This window comes from Homo sapiens, chromosome 2 (genome assembly GCF_000001405.40).
Source record: "Homo sapiens chromosome 2, GRCh38.p14 Primary Assembly".
Lineage (NCBI taxonomy): Eukaryota > Metazoa > Chordata > Mammalia > Primates > Hominidae > Homo > Homo sapiens.
The window spans coordinates 166,262,001-166,287,495 of record NC_000002.12 but is presented as its reverse complement, the minus strand read 5'-3'; the positions used below and the strand labels follow the sequence as shown (position 1 = coordinate 166,287,495).

The 25,495-nt window shown below is 34.5% G+C and overlaps 1 protein-coding gene and 1 long non-coding RNA gene across 9 annotated transcripts in view; one reads left to right on the top strand and one right to left on the bottom strand.

Annotated features, from left to right (window-relative positions):
- SCN1A-AS1 (SCN1A and SCN9A antisense RNA 1) overlaps positions 1–25,495 on the bottom strand; it is a 220,254-nt gene that overhangs the window by 14,289 nt on the left and 180,470 nt on the right. Inside the window, exon 8 of the long non-coding RNA NR_110260.1 lies at positions 10,249–10,408. This is a non-coding gene — a long non-coding RNA (SCN1A and SCN9A antisense RNA 1). The remainder of the gene's footprint in view (positions 1–10,248; positions 10,409–25,495) is intronic.
- Positions 1–25,495, top strand: part of SCN9A (sodium voltage-gated channel alpha subunit 9) — a 180,803-nt gene that overhangs the window by 88,492 nt on the left and 66,816 nt on the right. For 5 of the 8 annotated variants that reach the window (XM_011511617.3, XM_011511619.3, XM_011511616.4 and 2 more), the window contains 7 exons: positions 873–1,160; positions 2,672–3,043; positions 5,688–5,817; positions 6,901–7,139; positions 9,183–9,356; positions 10,157–10,513; positions 14,621–15,097. In XM_011511617.3, the coding sequence (XP_011509919.1) occupies positions 873–1,160; positions 2,672–3,043; positions 5,688–5,817; positions 6,901–7,139; positions 9,183–9,356; positions 10,157–10,513; positions 14,621–15,097 (2,037 nt within the window). Of the gene's footprint in view, positions 1–872; positions 1,161–2,671; positions 3,044–5,687; positions 5,818–6,900; positions 7,140–9,182; positions 9,357–10,156; positions 10,514–13,952; positions 14,107–14,620; positions 15,098–25,495 lie in introns of those variants that run through there. The other 3 variants (XM_011511618.3, NM_002977.4, XR_001738886.2) reach the window with 2 other exon arrangements.

Below are 25,495 nucleotides of genomic sequence, written 5' to 3'. Positions count from 1 at the left end.
CAGAAAAAATTTAAATTTTGGAAAATTAGAAAATAACTAAGAAAATTATGAAAATTGTATATCTTAAAGTATTATTTTGCCATAGAACTATGTGTTTTTTTAAAATTATTTTATCATGAGGAAAAATCTTTTAGAATAATGATGGATTAAATAATATAGTCCGATACAATCTCAATTTTAAAATTATACATACATATAAAAAGAATGGAAGAAATATTAGCACCAATTATTTCTGGGAGGTAAGATGACTTTTTTTCTGTTTTTCATTTATATCTTTATTTCCCATGTTTTTACAAGAATTTTTTAGTGTTTATAAACAAAACATTTTGTAAAGGGATAGTACTAGGTTATCCCAGGTACTACCTAGGGAATTCCCAGAAGTTTCATTTAGGCCAATAGTCATTGACCTTACCACTTTCTTACAATATTATGCTTTAATAATTCATTTATTTTTCAAATAACTCAATCTTTATTAAACCATAGAGTGCCTGATTCTATTGATGATATGGAGTTAATTGCCTGATAATCAAATTGTCTGTCTTATTGCATGGTTTATGCGAGTTTTACATTCCAAAATTACCTTGTAAAACTTTAACATATAATATTTAATTTGTCTTTACTGTAAGCAAATTAATAACATGTAATAGTTTAATTCTAAAATACAATAGAGCTTTATTTCAACCTGAGACAAAAACCAAATATATACTTTGTAAGCATTCTGATCATTGTGTAAAGAAAACGATCATTTCATGTTTAAAGGACATGATTATATGCACCATGTTGTTATGCTAATAGGTGAAAGATGTCCTGTCCTAGGGTTTCCTAGGATTTGGAAATGACTCATTTAAGTGTTAACGTCTTGGCCCAACCAGGCAATTGCAGCGGCAGCGGCTGAATATACAAGTATTAGGAGAAGCAGAATTATGGGCCTCTCAGAGAGTTCTTCTGAAACATCCAAACTGAGCTCTAAAAGTGCTAAAGAAAGAAGAAACAGAAGAAAGAAAAAGAATCAAAAGAAGCTCTCCAGTGGAGAGGAAAAGGGAGATGCTGAGAAATTGTCGAAATCAGAATCAGAGGACAGCATCAGAAGAAAAAGTTTCCACCTTGGTGTCGAAGGGCATAGGCGAGCACATGAAAAGAGGTTGTCTACCCCCAATCAGGTACCACCCAAATTGCTAAATGTGTATCACCCGAGGCAGAATGCTAGAGAAAAATGTCTTATTTTAGGGTAAGAGAACTCGGGAGAGGATAGTGAGTGATTTCATTGGTATGATTTTAGGTAAAAACCTAGTATCGCTAGGCATTTATGGAAAGATGTACACAGGTTTCCATTTGGGTTCAATCATTTTTGAAAGACCTTATAGTTTCAGAATTGTCAATATATTCTCTAATAAACTAATTTTCAGAAGCAAAATGTTCCTGAGAACCATTGTAGAAATAAAGAGACCATTCACACTATAGAATAACTTTTATATTTGTATTTAGTCTGTGTTTTGTAATGCTTCATTGGTTAAAAACTAATCTTAGACTAGTTTCTCTTCTTTCTTAAACAGTATAGGTAATAGTATCACTCACCCATTTGGAACTTTGGAGAAGCCTTTGATATCCTCCACCCCCAACCACATCAACTACTAATATGTAGTGCCATAGTCTGTTAATTCTGTTTATGTGGAAGTTCTCTTTCCCTTTCTCTTTTCACTGAAACCTTCATCTCTCAGGCCTCCCTGCTTATAATTCTGCACAAATCCCCAAGATGAACCATTGCTTCTGTTTTCCTTAGGTCTTCCCTGTTTTCCATCACACAACCCCACAAATCACTTTTCTAAACTAAAAATCTAGTTAAAAATCTACAAGATTCTCCTGATATACACAGTAAAAAAAGATAGAGTCCCTGCCTTCAAAATTTCACTTGAACCTAGGTGATGATACAGAACTTGGACACATATATCAATAAAAATAAATATGACAGGAGCAGTCCAAGCTGGTTTTGAGGCAAAGACCTTACCATACTTTTTCCATTGTTCACAATAGTTGCCACTTTGTTCTTTACATAGTAAGCACTAATGTCTATTGAACTAGATCCTTCCAAAGGATTTACACCCTGGACATGAGTCATATAAGCATGAATTGAATTTTTCCTCCTCTTTGGTATTGGGCAACTTCTTTTTAAATATTTAATGACTTTATAAATTAACTGGTGCTAAAAGCTCTCTTTAAATACACTTTAACTGAGCTCTTAGTATGTAAGGTGGATTTTCAATGCAAAGAACCATACAGCATGATTTCCAATTTTTTTGTGAAGCCTGGGGATTGATATATAAAAAGTTGAATGACCAGTAGCAATACTAAGTTCTTTTTTTAAGTTATAAGTTCTGTGCAGCAAAATGAATGGCATTAAAAGAATGGAGCAGTAACTCTAGGCCAGAATATTAGAGAGCTGTATAGCAACAAATAATTTACCTGGTCCTGAAAGGATGAATTCTACAAATTGTTTCATCCCTTAAGTGGAAGAAGTTTTCTTCTCACTGAATTGCTTCGTTTTTAAGTATGTTTCTTTTAAGTCAGTACAGAGCCACCTGCCCTCAGGCCAGTGGGTTCAGTGGTATTTATATGAAGTGTACTTCTATCAGTAGGTGCTTCAGCAACCACGTTTTTTTTAATTTTTCTGCAGTCACCACTCAGCATTCGTGGCTCCTTGTTTTCTGCAAGGCGAAGCAGCAGAACAAGTCTTTTTAGTTTCAAAGGCAGAGGAAGAGATATAGGATCTGAGACTGAATTTGCCGATGATGAGCACAGCATTTTTGGAGACAATGAGAGCAGAAGGGGCTCACTGTTTGTGCCCCACAGACCCCAGGAGCGACGCAGCAGTAACATCAGCCAAGCCAGTAGGTCCCCACCAATGCTGCCGGTGAACGGGAAAATGCACAGTGCTGTGGACTGCAACGGTGTGGTCTCCCTGGTTGATGGACGCTCAGCCCTCATGCTCCCCAATGGACAGCTTCTGCCAGAGGTGATAATAGATAAGGCAACTTCTGATGACAGCGTAAGGACGTTTTACATAGCTCAGGCATGGCTGGGCCCTTGTTCCTGCATCAGTCAGTCTCTCTGCTGAAGGGCCTTCTCTGGTCTTGTGAATGGCTCTGCATTTTGCAATACTTTTTCTATAGGAACACACCTTTGATTCATTAGCCTAATCCTCATTCTATGTGTTGTAGGCATCTAACTCAAAGATAAAATCCCATTTTTGTAAAAAGGTACTTGTCTATTAATTTTATAATTGAAGATTATAAATAATCTCTTTAGAGAACAATTTATGACGGATACATATATAGATAGATATCAGTACAGAAAATGCAAGGATAATGCTGATATTAGTTAATAATAGATCCCATTTCTATGAAGAAATTTGGATTACTTGCCAGCTACTGCTATCTTTTTCAGGTCACAGCTTAATATGTACCTATTCCAAGGAATCTTATTTGAGTTGTTAATAACAGCAAACACATATTTAGTATTTATGACAACCCCATGAGATGATACATTATTATCTCTGTTTTACAAATGGGAAAATTGAGGCATGGGGAAATGAAGCAACTTGCCCCAATTTACTCAGCTAATAAATGGTAGCTCCTAAGTTGAAACGGAGGCTGTCTGTTTCAGATCTTGTGCTCTTAACCACTCACTCTGCTATCTCTCCAATGTGCAGTAGGCTTCTTATCTTGAAAAAATTTAGAATGGCTATGTATTAGGTCCTCCATATAAATGAAACATAACTGTTTTCATTTTTAAAAAATATTTCATCTGGAGTCTATGAATCAAAACAAAATATCTGAAATGCAAGCATTGACACAAACAAACATAAAAGCAAAACAATCATTTTACAGCAGTTCCAAAGGTCTACGAGTCACTAAGTGGTTAGAGAAAGGTGTCTGATTAGGCTTGAAAGTGAGATCTTTCTCATTCCTGGAGTTTCCAGGATATCTCTTTAGCCCACTCACTATGCTATGCTGCATTACCAATATCAGCAAGGGCTTTGACTAACCCAATAAGCTTCAAACATATGCTACATGCTTATATATTTATATTTGCAGACAATGTAGTATTTCAAGTGAGAGTAAAGTTCCATCAAATCCATGGCCACACATATATTTCAATTTGAATAAATGCATGTGCTTTTAGGTAACATGTGACCTCTATGTGTGCATGATACAGCTTAAGCCCTTCTGCAAGGTATTTTTCATTATTGAATGAGCATGTTAAATTTCTGTGGAATCAAACTTTGCTTGCATTTTGTTTTGCAATTATGTGTGTAATATGTAAAATACTATATAATTTATATCAGATTAGGAGATTATTTCATATTTTTAATGAAGTTTCTTCATTTAAGAGTTTTTTCACCATAGAAAAATCAGTATCACAATAAATCCTAAAGTGAAAACTACAAAACTAGAGGAATTAGTGGATACTTATAAGATACAATGGAAATACAGTAAACATAAAATTGTGGCACAATATATGGTTTATATGAAAACACTGCATAACTAATAACGTCATCTCTATACCTGAAACATGTCTACATGGAAAATAATTTGTTTAATCTGACAAATTCTTGTTTGACAGACTATAGCACAGAAAACCTGGTTTTCGAGACTTTTCAAAAAGTTGACTTTTTACAGAGATCTCTCAAATGGGTGTGTCTGTTCACATACACATAGATGCATAATACACCCATGCACATATCTATGCCTGTATGTCTGTGTTTTGATACACATACATGCATGACTATACCTATACAACTATACAACTTTACAAATCTAGAAATATATATTTAAAATATATACCACATACCACACACAAGCAGACAAACATGATAGATCTAGAGTTGTATAGTTGTTTGTGTATATATGTGTGTGTGAGTGTGTGTGTGTATTTCTGGCCTGCATGGAACCAACATAGTGTTTTAAATTTGAATTAGTTTCCAAGTTTTAAAAATAAGACATTTTCTCACAAAAATAAATACACTTGTTATGCATGAGTTCATGTTTTTGCATGGCAACAATTTCTAGAGCTGAAGAGAGGTCACCTCTTTCAGATGTAGCTTGCATTCTCCATTTCACTAATTGTTCCTTTCAAACTGAGTCATTTATCATCATATGCTCTGCTCAGTTCATGAGGTCTTCCTTGGCAGTAAGAGACAACCATTACAGGAGCTTCATTAATGTTGTTCCCTCAATAAAAAGTAATTCCAGAAATTTATCAGAGAATACTGAGATTCTACCCCTTTAGATACACAGCACTACAGCACTTTCACTGTTTTCATGTAGGACTGTCACATGACAAACTATCTGAATAAATTGAACACTCAGAAAGGCAGAGAGGTGATGATAGTGATGATATAACAAAAAAGCAGCTAGCTTTATTTTTTATCTCATAAATATTAATTCCTTTAATCCTCACAAGAATATGAAGCAAGCACTATGATTATCCCCATTTTACCAATATAAAACTGAGACAGTTAAGTAGCTCTCCTATGATATACAGCCAGTAAGTAGCAGAGCCATAATTTGAACCCAGCAATCTAGGCTCTACTTTTAATTACTCACTACAGCTATATAAGCAAGATTTTATCTTATACCTACAATTTATTAGGATTCTGTTCTTAAGACATTAATTGATTTTTTTTTTAGGGCACGACCAATCAAATACACAAGAAAAGGCGTTGTAGTTCCTATCTCCTTTCAGAGGATATGCTGAATGATCCCAACCTCAGACAGAGAGCAATGAGTAGAGCAAGCATATTAACAAACACTGTGGAAGGTATGTAATAATCTTCTTTTACTGTACAGATTCTTAAATAAAATTAACATAAATCTGGTCAACCTTAAATAGGCACATGAAATTCTTAGGAAGAATTCAGAGACCATAAAATGGTTTTAAATGATGGTAAAGATAACCAATGGATACTGATGGAATTGTTTTTATGTGCTTAAAAATGGATAAAATTATTTGCTATTAAACACAGACATTGATAACATGGCAAAAATGACTTTGCAAAATGAAAAAAAGAAAACCCACAAAGACAGATGTTGGGTGATCTGACCTTTCAAAGATAAGTGATTTAATAGTAATTGATGCAGAAAACAAGGTTAACCCAGAGCTACGTGATTCTGTCACTATATAATCTTACAAATTACATATTCGCTCAAAAATTGTCTCTTCTAATAAGCAAAGATAGTCAAAGGGTGACAACTTTACAAACTGTGCTGGCTTCTACCCTCTCCCCTGACAATATGCCCCAGGTCCCACCTGGTCCCTGGGTCTAACACTTCACCCCCCACATTCCCATTGTGGGGGCAAAGTGTCTACTCATCTCCTAAATAAATGGTGAGAAGTAAATGGGCTAATGGTGTGAAATGTCTATTTCATGAGTCCTCCATAAATTATTTCTAGTTGCTTGGTTCTAGGATTGTTTTCACCTGTGAACTATTACAGCAAGAGTTTTTTCTGGACAGAATAGTCTCATCTTATTGTTGTCATGGGACTAAAAACACAGGTGAAAAATATGCATATTGGTGGAAAACATACATTTCTCTGTTAAGGAAACATAGTTCTCCTGTTTACCATCACATGTTAGGTGCATTTTTCTCTGAAAGATGCCCACATATGTGCTTGCAGTCATAAATTTCACTTCCTTACCCTCTCTTATGCTTCATCTAGGCAACGAACATGTCATAATAGACTTACATAAGAGGCTATGCTTTCATTGAAATAGTACTGTTAAATTTTCAAAATCTAAACTATAAACCTTGTTTCAATATTAGAATGCCTGACTGATTTGTATCTGGTTAGGAGTGAAACAGACAAATGGCTGACTCCATGTTCTCTGCTTTTTTCTCCCAGAACTTGAAGAGTCCAGACAAAAATGTCCACCTTGGTGGTACAGATTTGCACACAAATTCTTGATCTGGAATTGCTCTCCATATTGGATAAAATTCAAAAAGTGTATCTATTTTATTGTAATGGATCCTTTTGTAGATCTTGCAATTACCATTTGCATAGTTTTAAACACATTATTTATGGCTATGGAACACCACCCAATGACTGAGGAATTCAAAAATGTACTTGCTATAGGAAATTTGGTAAGTCTCTTATTGTGTGTTATGTACTCATAGTTTCTCTTTTTAGTTGTCATCATTGTCATTTCATATTTTTTATGTCAGATGAATCTGCAGCCTCAGAATTATGCATATCCAGAACTTTCCATATGAATGGATGTGTAGAGTCAAGTTTCTGGTTATGTCTTTTAAAATAATTGTGCAGTACTGTTGAGGTCTACAAATAACAATACTATTTCTATAAAAGGTTACCATCTTGGGAGTTGATAATGATTTTTTCTGCCAGCATATTTCTTGGGAGCAACACTTAACATTTTTGGTTCTTTCTCACACCTTCCTAATTACATTGCTGCTTTCTTGTAAGTACACACCTCACATATTTTCAGAAAACCTATGGATGTATTGCTTTGACATAATAGTAGTGAAGTGTTTGGGTCCTCAGAGTCCCAAAGTCCTGGGTTTGAATGCTGATTCTGCATTATATGAGTGATATGCCCTTGGACAAATATTTTAACTCTGTAGTATTTAATTTTATCATTTATAAAATAATACTTCATTATAAAATAATTATTTATAATATAATTGTAACTGTATTTCATTTATCATATTCTTGGGAGGATTAAATGCTTTCTGCTTATTAGCCTGGCATATAGTAAATACACAATAAATTAAAGCTATCATCATCATCAACATCATTGTCATCAAAACTTCAAAGACTTAATGAAACAAGCTTTAAAAACAACTATTTTGAGAAACCAAAATGGTTGAACTGGACATAGAAGACTCAAGGATAGGCAAGAAGGTGATCAACAGACTTCTGGAAGATATAAGATCCAATTAGTAAAATTGATGCCAGAGTGATCTCTAAAATGTACAGTGCTGGTCACACTAACTCAGGGTAAACAAAATGCCAGTTTTTGACTATGGATGTGAGGCAGGCACCAGTTCATTTTTAGGGCCAGAGAATCTCAGCTTATGACTCTTCATAAACCATGAATAACTTTGGGTATCTTTGTCAATGTCTATATAAGATAATTTTGCTTTTGCTGTGGTCCCAAACAAATTGACATTTGAAGACCAGAAGTTCTTTTCTGAGTCTGTCTTTTCTTCTAAATTGTCTACAAATATTCCCAATGTTTTTCCCCATGTGCTCGCTGAGTTAGCATTCTTCTTCCCTTCTATTTATCTTTGGAAAAAGGCAGGAATATCTAGTTTCTAATTGTTGGTGGAGATCCGGATCTTGCAAATAAGTACCTTCTCACTGAGACGACTGCATCCCTGTGAACTCAGAAAGGATTTACCTGGTCACAGCTATTACCACAACCTCAAGTCCAGCTGCTCCCTGCCAATCTTCTTGATCCTGCATTATTTGAAAATTGACTCCTGCAGTTATAGACCTAAACATTTCCCTTAGAATCTTCTTTGGTCAGATTCCTTGAGTCAAAGTGTACCCAAAGGATTCATTTCGGTGTTGCCTTTTTAAGTGAGTCCTTTGATACCAGTATCATGAATTAATGATATTTTGCAATGCACTTTTGTGTCAAAGCTTTAGAAGTATTACTTTAGCTGCCACATTGTCAATTAAATACTTTTTTCTCTTCTGCTGATAAATCTTTAAAGAGTGAGTCAACATGTTCTTTATTACTCTAACAGTAGTCAGATCAGAAAAAAAAAGACTGGCTCAAAATTTCAGTATCAACTTATGTTTTCTTTTTATCTTCTTCCAGAACAACTTTTTGACCCACATAAATTCTTTGAAAATAGTGACTGTGTCAATTACCAAATGTTTTACTCTTCTGAAATTTTAATATGCTATTCTAAAATGCTGTCTAAAAATGATGAGCACTGACAGGACAGTTAGAGCTTTTCAACCTTTTGATGCTGATATGGGAGCCAGGGAAGAGCAATACCTAATTTACAGGACTAAGTTAGATAAGAATATCCATTTATAAAGTATTTAGCAAACTGTCTGGAACACAGTAAATGCTAAGCAAACAGTGATTATTATCATTGTGTTGATTTCCTGTTTTCTAATATTAACAGAAAAACATTATTTTTCTCACTTAGGTCTTTACTGGAATCTTTGCAGCTGAAATGGTATTAAAACTGATTGCCATGGATCCATATGAGTATTTCCAAGTAGGCTGGAATATTTTTGACAGCCTTATTGTGACTTTAAGTTTAGTGGAGCTCTTTCTAGCAGATGTGGAAGGATTGTCAGTTCTGCGATCATTCAGACTGGTAAACATAAACTAAGGTTGCCATTATATTCTATAATAAAGGGGTATTTCTTTGGTTTTGCATTATTTTTAAAAACTTTTGGGAATTTGAATCAAAAGGCAAGATTATATCTTGATATCTAGTAAAATAAAATCCATTCATTGACAAATGCACTTAAAGAACTAAAACCACATGAATATTTTTACAATTTTTGAAGACATGCTCAATTCTAATTTGAAGTACACGCTAATATAATATAAATATTTTCTATTAATATAGTACAATAATTTATTTCAGAGTAAGAAGCTTGTGGCTTACAGAATTTCAATGATTATATGTTCATAACTTTATGAATTTGGTAATTAAAGATCAAATTGTTATCCCCCAAAACAATTGTTGTCTGATCTTAACAATATAAAAACAAATAAAGACTTTTTAAAGCACATTCCTCTAATATGCTAGATTTTATCTAAGTGTCGGCATGAGAAAATGTATGAAAGTATTAGAAAGTAGAATTAAGGATAAATTATCAATTCTAAAAGAAAAATATCACAAATTATGATAAGAGGTTTCTATAGCAATCCTGAACTAAAAGTACATAGTTTCTTCATAATATGTGTTGTAATTTTTTGTGGCAAGTGGAACAAAATAACAGAGATATTGAAAATTGATGAAAATGAAAAATAAGAATATTTTAGCTGGATAATAATGACAATATTATAGGACTTAAAGTCTGCTTTACCCTTTGAACAAAAATCAAGATTGGAAACATTGAAAAGATTTTCATAGTGATTAACATTAAACTTTATATTTGCTTTTAGCTCCGAGTCTTCAAGTTGGCAAAATCCTGGCCAACATTGAACATGCTGATTAAGATCATTGGTAACTCAGTAGGGGCTCTAGGTAACCTCACCTTAGTGTTGGCCATCATCGTCTTCATTTTTGCTGTGGTCGGCATGCAGCTCTTTGGTAAGAGCTACAAAGAATGTGTCTGCAAGATCAATGATGACTGTACGCTCCCACGGTGGCACATGAACGACTTCTTCCACTCCTTCCTGATTGTGTTCCGCGTGCTGTGTGGAGAGTGGATAGAGACCATGTGGGACTGTATGGAGGTCGCTGGTCAAGCTATGTGCCTTATTGTTTACATGATGGTCATGGTCATTGGAAACCTGGTGGTATGTAACCAGATGTTCATGCATTTTAATTTCTCTGTGGAAATTATTTTGTGATGATGTGATCTATTATTTTTATAATTTTATAATTAATTATATCTACAATTATTAATTGCAAAAGAATAGTGATAATTTTAATACAAGAAAGAACAGGAAAGAGAACGAAATTTTGTATTAGTTTTCCTAGCCAAATAACCCATATTTATATTTTTCAAAATCACTGCCTATTCATTTTAAGGCAAAGGTTTCTATCTTTTTCTCTAATTTTGAAAGTGATGGCATATGCTCTCTTGAAGCTATACTAGTAAATAAAATATAATTAAGTTAATAATAACAAAAATGAAGTTAATAATGGACCAAGGCAAATGAAAGGACTGGTCCCGCACCTTATAGCCATGTGTAAGACTAGCCTCTATAGCAAGGATCAGCACCTATGCCCCACAGACCAAAGCCAGTCCAATGCCTGTTATTGTGTGGCCCTGGGAGCTAAGAATGATTTTTACATTTTTAAGTGGTTAAAATAATCAAAAGAAGAATAAATGACACATGCACATTATATGAAATGCAAATTTTAGTGTTCATAAACTTTATTCAAACATAGGAATGTCAATTCATTTACGTATCTTCTATGACTGCTTTTACATTACAGTGGCAGAGGTGAATAGCTGCCATAGAAATCGTATGCCCAATAAAGTCTAAAATATTTATCATTTGGCCCTTTACGAAAAAGTTTTCCAGCCACTGGCCTATAGCATCGCGTGGACATAGCAATCTGCCTACTTTTTGAATTAGTGTTTTCTTGGCTTGTACTTTTTTTTTATTTTTTTTCTTCCTTATACTGATTAGTGAAAACTTTCAAGCTTACAAGCAGGAGAAAATTGGGATAAAATGCTCTTCTATGAGCCACTCATCTCAATTCTCAAATCTGCCACGTTGACTTGTCACAGTTGGTCAGCTTGACATCAAATCTCTCATCAGGTATCCAGAAGGTGGGATATGGTAACAGCCATATGGTAAGTGCCTTCACTTCCCACTGAGTTGAAAAAAATTACTAAAATATTGTTGTCCTTGTAACCACCATAAAAAGAGGATTCAGAAGTCAGGACAGAAACTTACATTCATCCAGTCACACACTAAATGATACTGTGCCAGACATACACAAAGGCATTTATGCAGCACAAATTCTAGATTTTTACTGCACAAAAAATATACATCCTGGATTACCATTCTATAATTGTTGATCACCCTCAAGTTGTAGTAATAAATAAGCTTCCTAGTTTTATATAGCCTTACAAATTCCTTCCAATATGGAATGAAATGCACATTCTCTTTGTTTCTTCTTCTCTGTTTTGTATTTATAAGCTCCTATAGCAGGATTTGCTTGTGTATTTTTTTTTTTTTTGAGATGGAATCTCGCTTTGTTGCCCAGGCTGGAGTGCAATGATGTGATCTCGGCTCACCCCAACCTCCACCTCCCAGGTTCAAGCAATTCTTCTGCCTCAGCCTCCTGAGTAGCTGAGATTACAGGTGCATGCTACCGTGCCAGCTAATTTTTGTATTTTTAGTAGAGACAGGTTTTCGTCATGTTGGCCAGGCTGGTCTCGAACTCCTGACCTCAGGTGATCCAGCCTCCGTCGCCTCCCAAAGTGCTAGAATTACAGGCGTGAGCTACTGCGCCCAGCTGTGCATTTCTTCTTACAAAATTTTGACATAAAATCGTGAAATTGGGAAAGGTATAACTTGTGAAAACATGCCACATCAAAGCCAATAATCACAAATAATTTAAATGTTTATTATTTATTCAGGCAAATTCAAAGGGAAAGGCATTCCCTTGGCTCTCACCACATTTTCCACTCAATATTTTTTAGTATCTTCTCTGTGAAAAGAAAGGTATTTAGGTATTGTTTAGATAGGAAGGCATTGTTTAGGTATTATTTAGGGTGGAAGACCAAAACCAATTACCCATGGTCTAATCCTTGTTTTTAAGATGCTTATTAGGGCACAGAAAAGTGGAACACAAAAGTTATCAGACAAGGAAGAAGTGATGAGTTCTACCAATAAGGTTAAATAAAATGCTTCTGACACTTAAAGAAAGAGTTCTAGATTGAGACTTAAGGGAGGTTTTTGAAGTGGGCCTTTGAACAATGGATAATATAATATTTGATCATGGACACTGGTGTGAGAGTTATGTTTTCCTTTGAAAGGCAATATAGATTTATAGTAAAAAACAGAGGGGATATATTGGTGAGTGTTTCATTCGTGTAGAATTAGTGTTAACTAACTCATATTATTATTCTTTAATTATTAATTCTTGGCAAAGAAAGTATACAGAAGAAAATTCATAAAGTTGATAACCAACTCTTGACTAATGGAGGAACTACCAATATCATAGAATTAAAATTTAAGGAAAAAAATATATTCCTGATATAGCCTTCCACATTAGAGTTATATGCTAAACTGGCTTCTCTTTTTTTATATTTCTCTAATTTATTCTTTTGATCATTTTATTGCCAGTTAATTGAAATGGTTAAGGACCATAGGTTTAGGAAAACATTTGGAAAAATAAGTTTTAGTCAGCTCGGGTCTATATCAGGAAACTTGCGAAGACCATTAATCAAAATGAGACTTTGAATCAAGTATACATTTTATTAATATTTCTTCTCTTGTTTAACATGATAATACAAAGATGATACAAATGGACTTTATTTTGATTTGTGATACCCACTAGGTTATAGAAATATTAGAGACTTATGATTTTTGAAGGAAAGAAAGTTGTCACAGCAGCTGTTCTCAACGAAGTGAGAACCGCATGAGCCACTGCACCCTGTTAAAATGGTTTAACGCTTGAACAGATTAAGGAGACTAAAGCAGTAAAATGGACCCTCAGATCTTCACCAATATTCCTATTAAAACAAATATACACAAACATGTATTTCATAGTGAAATATACTTTTTCATTGACAACTATTAAACCATTTCAGGGATTTTTAGCAATTATCAAAATTGTTCACTATGATTCCCAGACCTCCGACCTCCAGAATTTTCTCCTAAATCAGACTTATTGAGACACACAATTTTAGCCTGCTGTCTTTACTTACATCTCAGAGAAATTGTTTTAGGTATGACCAAAATGAGGGATGAGTACCTTCTCTTCAGTTAGGTCTTACTTCGATTTTTAAAACATGAGGTAGATGATTTGGGCCATGAAAAGACTTACATCAAATGCCAATTCAATTTCCTTTTTTGTTTCCTGGATAAAACAATGTTTAAATATAATTTACAATTTACATGTTTCCTGCCCTCTGTGAACATTTTTTTTTTTTACAATGTGGAGTTGACCTGCACTTCTACTTCAGTGAGAAAAAAAAATAATTAACTCAGAAATAAAACTTTGCTTCAAGAGAATAGAAATTGTCCTGACCTTTTTTGTAATCTCTTCTAGGGCAAACATAATAGGCAATGAAGCCAGCCAATCATAATGCCATTATTGCATGTGAATCAGGTTCAAGGGGCAGGTCCTTTTCTGTGCTTTAAAAGTCACATTAAGCAGTATTCTAGCACGCTTCTTGGACAGAATATTTTATTACAGGAACTTTGTAAGTATTATGTGTTCCATTTGTTAGAACAAGTGACATTTATCTTCTGGTAAAGTGAACAAAGATCTTTAGCACAATAGAAAATAGTCACAATTGTTTTGTTCTACCTGTTTCTCACAGGTAATAAAGAGTAATGATAGATGAATGCTAGGAGAGTTTTTTGGGTTCATAAAAGAGAACTTGATTAAGGCACTACTGCTACAGAAATGAACTTAGAAATGATGTAATGATAATGGTGAGGGATCATTCTCTCTGCTCCCCATGGTAATTCTTCCTGGGTATGGCTGACCCTCTGCTGCTGAGTCTGCAGGGGCTAGTCTAGGGATACAGTGATGAGGAGTCTACCCTCGCCTCTGTCTCTCTCATGTGGTCTTATCCGTGTGTGAAAAGGTGCAGAAATCTTCGTTGCTGGTTTGTATTGTGGCCTATATTCGGAAAAGTGTACTTATTTTATTTTATTTTTTATATTTCCTGTCTCCCTATTTCTCTACCCCCTCTCCCCACCCTGATATAGGTCCTAAACCTATTTCTGGCCTTATTATTGAGCTCATTTAGTTCAGACAATCTTACAGCAATTGAAGAAGACCCTGATGCAAACAACCTCCAGATTGCAGTGACTAGAATTAAAAAGGGAATAAATTATGTGAAACAAACCTTACGTGAATTTATTCTAAAAGCATTTTCCAAAAAGCCAAAGATTTCCAGGGAGATAAGACAAGCAGAAGATCTGAATACTAAGAAGGAAAACTATATTTCTAACCATACACTTGCTGAAATGAGCAAAGGTCACAATTTCCTCAAGGAAAAAGATAAAATCAGTGGTTTTGGAAGCAGCGTGGACAAACACTTGATGGAAGACAGTGATGGTCAATCATTTATTCACAATCCCAGCCTCACAGTGACAGTGCCAATTGCACCTGGGGAATCCGATTTGGAAAATATGAATGCTGAGGAACTTAGCAGTGATTCGGATAGTGAATACAGCAAAGTGGTAAGAATGCTTCATATACTTTGTGTTTCATATTAACAATTAGTATGAAATGAATGAAAATTTCATATTTCTATTGTCATAAGTTCTTCTTAACATTGCATGTAGTGATGGATAGTTTTTGTGCGTGACTTTACACAACAGCTTCCTGAAGATTCATCTGGTAAAGTTTTCTTACTAGTTCTTAATAATTGATTTAATCTTACTTAGCTGTATGAGAAAGCTCAAAGGTATCTTTGAGCCTTCCCATGCTTCATCCCATGTTTCCTGTCAGTTGAAAAGTTACACAGTCTCCCTCCACAGTGCCTGTTTGAATCCACCTCTCCTTTTCATCACCTTTCCTTTGTACTCACTACTTTTTGCCTAAACCATTTCAAGCAGAGTCTCAACTGATGCCTCTGCTTCCATTTTGCATTTACTCTAGTTTACTTATTTGATTATTTTCGCTCATGCAGATTCAGTCCTAATCATTTCACTCTCATGATGTATCCATGATCCGCAAAGTATCGCTCTCTCTCTCTCTCTCTTCTTTTTTTTAAAAAACGGAGACAGGTCTCACTCTGTTGCCCAGTCTGGAGTACAGTGGTGCTATCATAGCTTACTGCAACCTTGAACTCCTGGGCTCAAGTGATCCTCCTGCCTCCACCTCCTGAGTTGCTGGGACTACACACCCATGCCACAACACCCAGCTAATTTTTTTAAAAAAGTTTGTAGAGACAAGGTTTCACTATGTTTCCCAGGCTGGTCTCAAACTACTGGACTCAGGCAATTCTTCAAACTTTTTCCCCAGTTGCTGAGATTACAGGAGTGAGCCACCACGCCTGGCCATCCCCAAAGTCTCGAATTATGTACTGTGCACAAAGCCTTCACACTATGGCCCTAACCAGCTTTGACCAGCTCTATCTCCTAGTGCTCACCCATAGATTTTTACCTGTACCAAACCAATTTCCTTTTAGGTCATAAACACTCTCCACACTTTGCTTGGGATTTCCTTCTCCAGTCAAAATCCTTCAAGGCATCACCCTTGTATTTATCATCTATTAAATTGTTAATACTTAAATCGCAGTTGGGTCAGGGTTAAATGAATTAACACGTTAATACATGTAAAATGTTTAGAACCATACTCAATGTTCTCAAAATGTTATTTATTTCATCCCTCCTAATTTCTCCCCAAATGGATGTAGTCCCTTCTCATTTTTGAACCGCAAACAATTTTATACTTCTTCCTGGATTCAGTAATCTTAAATTTTAATTTTTTGAGAAATTATGGTATGCATCAAATAGTACTGTAAATTCATTGAGAACAGGAACTCTTTAAAACCTTTTTTTGTGCCCTCCTCTCCCACCCTTACCTGCATATTTCTAGTGAGTCAAGGTATGTATTGAGTTTTATTTTTATTGTGAAATATAACAACCGTATTACAAATTACTTTTATGAGATTGCTTTCAAGTCTTAAGGCATCATTTAAAAATAATCTTTTGTTTTCTCTAGCTCATGTTAGAAAGTATTTGACAGATATTTACCAAATATCTTCTATCTCCTTAACTTACTAAGACTCCACCCTCCATGAATTTATAGTGGACTTGGAAAACGAGATTATATGGAATAATCATGACTGATATATATATATATATATATCAGTAAAATGCTCAGGAGGCTGAGGCATGAGAATCACTTGAGCTCCAGAGGCGGAGGTTGCAGTAAGCCAAGATCGCACCGCTGCACTCCAGCTTGGACTACAGAGTGAGACTCTGTCTCAAAAAAAATCAATACATAAGATTAAATTAAATACATAAGATTAAATTAAATTAAAACAAAATAAAATAAAATGCTCTATATTTAATTGAGTGAATAAATGATTAAATAAATAAATCATGATATATGTTTCTATGTAGCCAAGGACATTTTTTCCAAGACGGTAAAGTAAGGAATCAAATCTAGTCATCCCTCGATATCTATGGGCGAGTAGTTTGAAGGCCCCCCACAGAGACTAAAATCTGCAGATGCTCAATTCCTTTATATAAAATGGCACAATGTTTACCATAAAACCTACACACATCCTCTCATATGTACACTTTAAATTATCTTCAGATTACTTATAATGTAAAAGTAAATCACTGACACAATGTAAATATTTGTTTTACTATATTTTTTATTTGTACTATTTTTATTGTTGTATTTTTATATTTATTTTTTCCAATTATTTTCCATCTGTAGTTGGTTGACTCTACAGATGTGGGACCCAGGGATACAGAAGGCCAGCTGTATTTTATTTGTATATTTTAAAATGTTCTACATGGAAGAAGTAATACTCCCAAAATTTTAAAACCGTGTTCATTTCAGCTTAAAGTTAGAAAATCAGATTCCACGTATGCCTTTTAAGGAGCAGGCATCTAGGTTTAGTATCATATGGAAAGGGAAACTAACTCAGTCACCTATTTTTTTCTAACTAACTCTGTCACCCATTTAAAGAAGATTAAAATTATAAACTCCAATTGCCTGGCAGACAGTTGCTCTCAGAATAAAACTTGGATTCTAGGTGTTAAAGCACTTCAGGAGCTGGGGAAAGTCAACCAAAGACTTCTGAAATTATTTCTTAACATTTATGAGGAATTATTTCTTACCTGTTCATTTTTCTTTCATTTAAAGTCAATGGCTGACCTTTCATGGATCTCCTTAGCTGCTGACAAAATTCTTATTCTTAGTATGTTGAGTTGCAACATTTTTAAGGGAACCTTATAGAACTTTCCATTTAGCACTTCATTTTCTAACTGAAAAAGCAGACTCATTAAAAGGAAGTGATTTTATTCACAGTTATAAAGCTAGAGTTATACAGTTATAAATCTAGAGTTATAGAGTTATACAGTTATAAAGGCAGAGCCATGTCAAGAGTCCTAGGCTTGTGACTTATAGCTCAATGGAATTTCTACCTCTCTTGTCCTCTCTTTGTCCATTTGAAACACAAAACAAACATTCCTATTGGACTTAATAATTTGTCTCCCCTGGGGTATAAAGCCATGCAGCTATAGAATTTATATATCTGTGGCATGCAGATGAAGGTGTGTTGTCATAATGGTTAGCTATCTTTTATAACTAGTGATTTTATTTGTATTTTATAACTGAAATAGATTATTTTAACCATTCATAAAATTACTCTGTCACTTATTCCATGAGCCCTTCCGAAAGCGTATGAAATCTAGTGCCCTATAAACTGAGTTGTCTAAAAATCATTTGATGTTAATATTCTAATATTCTTGATTTTCACTAATTTTTTTCTCATTACATAATGGTTATATCTATATGATAAAAGAGTGTACATTCTTACTCTATTACATTTCCATGGTATGCACAATTAAATATACAGGAGTTTGTGGCTACCTTAGAGGTTGTAGTAACAGATACACAAGCTAGTATTTTTAAGTCATGTAGCATAGTGTTTGAATTAGCAAGCCATTTTAAAAAAAGTGTTTGTTGTCATCGATTTCTGCATCATTATTATTACTTAAGAACTCAGGTTCTTAGTGCTACTGACTTCTAATTATGAACTTTGAAAGTTTACCCTTCTTCATAAAAAATTTTCCATGACGTATCTCAAAGTATGTCATATTAAGTATAGACAAACCTACCTGAAAATATAAGAATTGAGAAATAATGAAGGTTCAAGATCTAGAGGAAATTTGTTTGATAAGATATTAAGCTGTGGTCAACTATAAAAACCTTACATCTAAGGTCTTTCTTTCCAGCCTCTTCAGATTAAAATGTTTCCAGTTTAAATTCTGTCATTTTTGTTTTGTTTTGTTTTCCCATTCAGATCACTAAAATAGTGTACATTTTATTTATTTGTCTAAAATGTCTTTAATCCTCCTATGCTAACTTTTCCTGCTCTAATTCTCATAATCTTCATCTCCCACTTGAGTTCCCAGAGTCTTGAACTGTGAATTCCCTCTTTTGCAACTTTTATTTTTTTCGTATCTGAGATGCCTTTGAAATAGTGATGGTTGTGTTTGTGATGAGCCTGGATGAGCCAAAGAGGCAAATTGAATTACCCAATAGAAAGTAACTCCTAATTTATATATTTATGTCATTAAGTCTTAGCCACTACCTTGGGATATAGTTAAGAATGCCACTTTTTAAGATAGAATATTTGCCTCAAATCTTAGCTTTTGATAAGACCTTGAGCAATTTACAAAAACATTTTTTTCAGTTTATTTATGTGTAAAATAGATTGTAATAAAGATTATATGATTCTCATAAATAATTAGACAAATGCTTATTGAAAAGTGCTCAATGTACAATTATTATAAGTATGGAATTGAGTGCTTATATACACACTGTAAGTAGCTATTGGTTACAGATTGAATTTAAAAGAGATAGCGTGATGAAGATCAGTGCTTCAGAATTTTAGTGTGTGAAAGACATACTTGGGGACTTTATTACAAATGCCTGTTCTGGATCATATCCTTTGAATTGTTTGCCTAAATTTGGATGCAACTTCAGAATCATTAACAACGTTTGCAGCAGCTACTGATCAATAGAGACTACTATGAACAATCATACTCCAACAAATTGGAAAACCTAATGGAAATTGATAAATTACTCAACACATACAACTTGCCAAGACTGTATCATGAAGAAATGGAAAACTCAAACAGACCAATAATGAGTAACAAGATTGAATCAGTAATAAAATCTCTCCTAGCAAAGAAAAGTCCAGGACCACATGGCTTCACTGATGAATTCTACCAAACATTTAAAGAAGAACTAATACTAATTCTTCTTAAATTATTCCAAAAAAATCAAAAGGAAAGGAATTCTTCTAAATTCATTCTACAAGGCCAATATTACCCCAATACCAGAACAAGACAGGGACACACACACACGAAAAGAAAGCTGAAGGCCACTATCCCTGATGAACACAGATGCAAAATGCCCCAACAAAATACTAGCAACTCAAATCCAACAGCCTATCAAAAAGATTATTCACCATGCTCAACTGGAAATCGTCCCAGGGATGCAAAGATGTTTCAACATTTGCAGAACAATAAACTTTCTATATTATATCAACAGAATGAAACATAAAAACCATATAATCATCTCAATAGACAGAGAAAAAGCATTTTATAAAATCCAGTATCCTTTATTTGATAAAAATTATCAACAAATTAAGTATAGAAGAAACATACCTTAATGTAATGAAGGCCATATGTAACAAACCCACAGCTAACATGATACTAACCAGGGAAGAGCTGAAAGCTTTCTCTCCAAGATCTGGAACAAGATAAGGATGCCCACTTTCACTACTTTTATTCAACATAGTAATGAAGTTCTAGCCAGAGCAATCAGGCAAGAGAAAGAAATAAAGGACATTTAAATTGGAAAGAAGGAAGTCAAATTCTCTTTGTTTTTATATGATCTGATCTTAGATATAGAGAGTTCTAATGACCCCATGAAAAAAAGTAGTAGATTTCATAAATGAATTCAGTAATGTTGGAGGACACAAAATCAACATGCAAAAATCAATATTATTTCTATATGTTAACAACAAATAATCTGAAAATAAGAAAGCAATCCCATTTACAATAGCTACAAAAAATAAAATACCTAGAAATAAATTTAAACAAGGAGGTGAAATATATTTACAATGAAAACTATAAAATATTGGTGAGAGAAATTGAAGAGGACACAAAAAGGGAAAGATATTCCATGTTCATGGATTAGAATAATTATTATTTTTAAAATGTCCATATTACCCAAAGCAATCTACAGGTTTAATGCAATCCCTATCAAAATACCAGTGACATTCTTTACAGAAAAAAAAAAAAAAAGTCCTAACATTTGTATGAAACCACAAAAGACCCTAAATAGCCCAAGTAACCTGGAACAAAAAGAACAAAGCTGATGGCTTCACACTAACTGACTTCAAAACATACTATAAAGCTATAGTAACCAAACAGAATGATACTGACATAAAACAGACACACAGAGCAATACATAAGAATAGAGAGCCCAGAAATAAATCTACACATATACAGTCAACTGAGTTTTGACAAGGTTCCAAGTACCTATAATAGAGAAAGGACAGCCTCTTTAGTAAATGGTTCTGGGCAAACTGAATAGCCACATGCAAAAGAATGAAATTAGACCTTTATCTCTTACTTTATACACAAGTCAACTCAAAATAGACTACTTAAATGTAAGACTGAAAACTACACAACTATTAGAGAAGAAAAAAAACAGGGGGAAAGCTTCATGATGTTGTTCTAGGCAAGGATTTTTTTGGATAAAACCTAAAAAGCACAGGCAACAAAAGCAAATATAGACAAATTGGATTATATTAAACTAAAAAGCTTCTGCACAGCAAGGCAAACAATCAATAGAGTGAAGAGATAACCTACAGAATGGGAAAATAAATTTGTAAACTATGCATCTGATAATGGGTTAATATCTAAAACATACAAGGAACTCAAACAACTCAACAACGACAAAAAAAACAAATAATTCAAAAATGGACAAAAGACCTGAATAGATATTTCTCAAAAGAAGACAAAGAAATGCCAACAGATAAATGAAAATATGCTCAACATCACTAATCACCAGGGAAATGCAAATCAAACCTATCTTGAGGTATCTCCTCACCCTAGTTAAAATGGCTACCATCAAAAAATCAAAAGATATAAGTGTTTAAAGGATATGGAGAAAAGGGAATCCTTACACACTGATTGTGAGAATGTAAATTAGTACCACCATTATGGAAAGTAATATGGGGGTTCTTTAAAAAATTAAAAATAGAATTTTCATATGATCCAGCAGTCCCAATACTAAGTAAATATCCAGATGAAATGAAATCAGTATGTTGAAGAGATACAGTAAACATAGAATACTGTACTCCTATATGTTTATTGCTGCACTGTTCACAATAGCCAAGTTATCATATTAACCTAAATGATCGTAAATAAATAAATGCATAAAGAAAATGTACATAAGAAAAATTGAACGCCATTCAGCCATAAGAAATAATGAAATCCTGTTATTTGTGGCAACATGAATGAACCTGGAGGACATTATGTTAAGTGAAATCAGCCAGGCACAGAAAGTCAAATATCTCACACATATGTGGAATCTAAAGGGTTGTCATAGAAGTAGATAGTAGAATAGTGGTTATCGGAGGATGGGAGGCTTGGAGGAGCGAGGTGTGGGGAAAGATTGGTCAACAGGTACAAAGCTACAGTGAGATAGAAAGAATAAGTTCTGGTGTTCTATTGAATCGTTGGATGACTAGAGTTAACCATAATGTGTTGTATATTTCAAAATAGCTAGAAGTTTTTAAATGGTCTCCTCACAAAGAAATGGTAAATGTTCAAAGCTATGGATCTGCTAGTTACCCTATTTGATAATTATATAATGTATACATGTATCAAACTATCACATGTACCCCATAAATATGTACAATTATTATGTGTCAATAATTTTTAAAATAAATGATGCCAACTTAATCCCTAGCTTACTTGGATTCAGGTTTCTGAGATATTATTTTCTTTATTCAGGGGCTATGGGTATATTTCCCCTTTTGCTTGTTTAAGAACCTGCATTTTGAGCAAGGGGAAAAAACATCACTGACCTTTGATATCTCTCCCTCTCTTCTCCCTACCCAAAAACCCTCTCTTTTATGACCTAGCATCCTGGTTTCTCAACAGAGTTTATGGAGAATTTTCAGTGCTCTCCTAGTATAAGTTTTCAGGTTGACAGATTTCCTCAACCTGATAGACAGTTAAAAATACACTCCAGAATCAAATCAAAATATTTTACAGTAAAACCTCTTATCAGAAAATAACCAAAGAGATGAGTTAAAACAAACGGTTTAGTCAAATATCTTAAACAGTTCTGAGGAAACAAATGGAAATAGAACAATAGCACTTCTCTGAAGAGATAGTCAGTGTCAGAATCAAGAAAGACATGCTGTTATCTCAAAGGTACCCATGAGAATAATACTCTTTTCACTGTTTCTAAGAATGCAGGCACTGAACTGATGGCTCTTCTCAGAGTCAGCCTTCTCCTGAAGTGCAATGAAGCCCTCCAAGCACACTCCAAACATTAACAACACACTACACAGGCTTTTTTACCACTGGCAGTGAAGTGCTTCCTCATTAGAAGCCTTAAAGGAAGTATGAAATGCACCCATTTGTCAATAAATATTTATTACACCTTACTATGCTCTAAGCACTGTGCTAAGAATTGCTGAGGGAAAAAAGATCATGTTCTCACACAGCTGCAACAATTTAATATCGGGATTAACTTGAAAGTTAAAATATAAGGGCTCAGGGTCTAGATATATAAGATTGTGAGCTGATCCAAGGATGTATTAGTTTCTTACGGCTGTTGTAACAAATTAGCAAAACTCAGTGGCTTACAACAACAGAAATTTATTCTTTTGCCAGTTCTGGAGGCTAGAAGTCTGAAATCAAGGTCTGAGCAAGGCCATGATTTCTCTAAAGGCTCTAGTAAGTATCCTGCCTTGCTGCTTTCTAACTTTGGAGGTTGTTGGCAATCCTTGCAGCTTGCAGCTGCATCATCCCAATCTCTGGCCCGGTACTCACGTAGTTTTCTCCCTGTGTGTCTCGGTCTTTTCTTCTTATAAGGACCCCAGTTATATTGGATTTGGACCCACACAATGACCTCATCTTCATTGTGTCTGCAAAGACCATATTTCCAAATAAGATCACACTCAAACATGCCAGGGTTAGGACTTCAACATAACTTTTGGAGGATTACAATTCAACCCACAACAAAGAATTTTGACTTAGAAGACTAGATGGTTATTGATACAATTAAGAATACACTGATGGAGGAGAAAATTGAGGAGGTAGGGGAAATACAGAGTTTAATTTGGTGGCATCATAAATTTGAACTACTTGCAGTACAGGCAGTGAACCTGAACAGGAGGTATATGGAAAGATAAATCTTAAGGAAAGAAGAAAAGTCAGAGTTGTAGATAGGTTGGGATTTTGTATGCTAACTTTCATTAATCACGGGATTGTGTAGGGGTCAGTTCCCTGGGAAACCAATCCTGAGAGAGAAATCTGAGATTTACTGAGAAGTGTTTTCAGGAACGAAACGTAACATCTGTAAAAAGTGAGGCATGCAAAATTATTGGGCAGAGAGAGAAGTTGAACTGTTAAAATTGCAACAGAGATTTCGGCTGATCCTATTGGCATCTCTGATGCTGTGACAACCCTCTGGAGTAGTTCCAAAACAAAGCAAGAGGGTCAGGCCTTTCTTCTCCACACCATTCATTGGATGCAGGCTCTCCCTTTACCTTTCCAGGGGAGAAGGGTATAACCTTGGGGGAAGCACCTCCCTTCTGCCACGATAAGGCCCAAAGAGGGATTCAGATGTGAGCCTTCAGCATCCAACACTTTTGGCAGCTGGGGGAATGAGCAGCTTGCTGGAAAGCAGGATGTGGACAGTGCCTTAGAGCATCTACTTCATGACAGAACCACAGACAGCAGCTGAGAACAGCGGATCAAACACATTTGAGAGGTGGATGCAAAAGAAGAAAGCACGCACACACACACGGATAAAATGTATACAGTAGCCCCTTTACACACATTATATAATTTTCGTCTTTGTGACCTCCTTAGGAAGTAAATATAATGCATCTATATTTGCAGATGACTGCGATTCTAAAAGATTAAGAAAAGATTTGGTTAGTCATGGACGTATCTGGGGGTCTTTTTAAATTTAAACCCCAAGCTGTAATCATTATACTACATGCCATAGAAAGGCAAGAAAATGAGTAGTAGTATAATTGTTTTCTGCTATACCTCTGTAATGGTGTAATTCAGGGTGAAATTTTCTGTTGTAATGGTATTGTACATTTGCTGATTCATTGGGATTCTGATATTGTGCTTCTAATCCACCTTAATGCTGACTGATTAGGTTATAGTCTACCTTGGTAATAATGTGTGATTTTTATATTTTAGGTGTTTAAATTTGTTTCTTCAAAACTATCTTATTCCCTTCTTTATTGAAAAGTAAAACTGATTTTACTTCTAGAATATATTTCTTTCTCAAGACTACATAACCCTTTCCTTTCCATTTATTCAGTATTAAATGCATATTTTATACATTATGGTATTTCATGTGTATCTGTATATTTATTTTTGCATATATTAATGTGTCTATTTTTTCATGCAAATTATTGATAAATATGACAAACTCATCTAGACCAAATTCAAGTTCTTGTAGCTTCTGCCTGATACATTCATTCTTCTCTAGGTGAAAACCTTGCTGAGGTAACTATGAGGTTCTTAGTGCTACTAAGACTTATCCAGCTCTCCCTGGCTTGTTGATGAAATTGGCAAGTGACTCAGAAATATCACTAAAGTCCAGATCATTGCCTT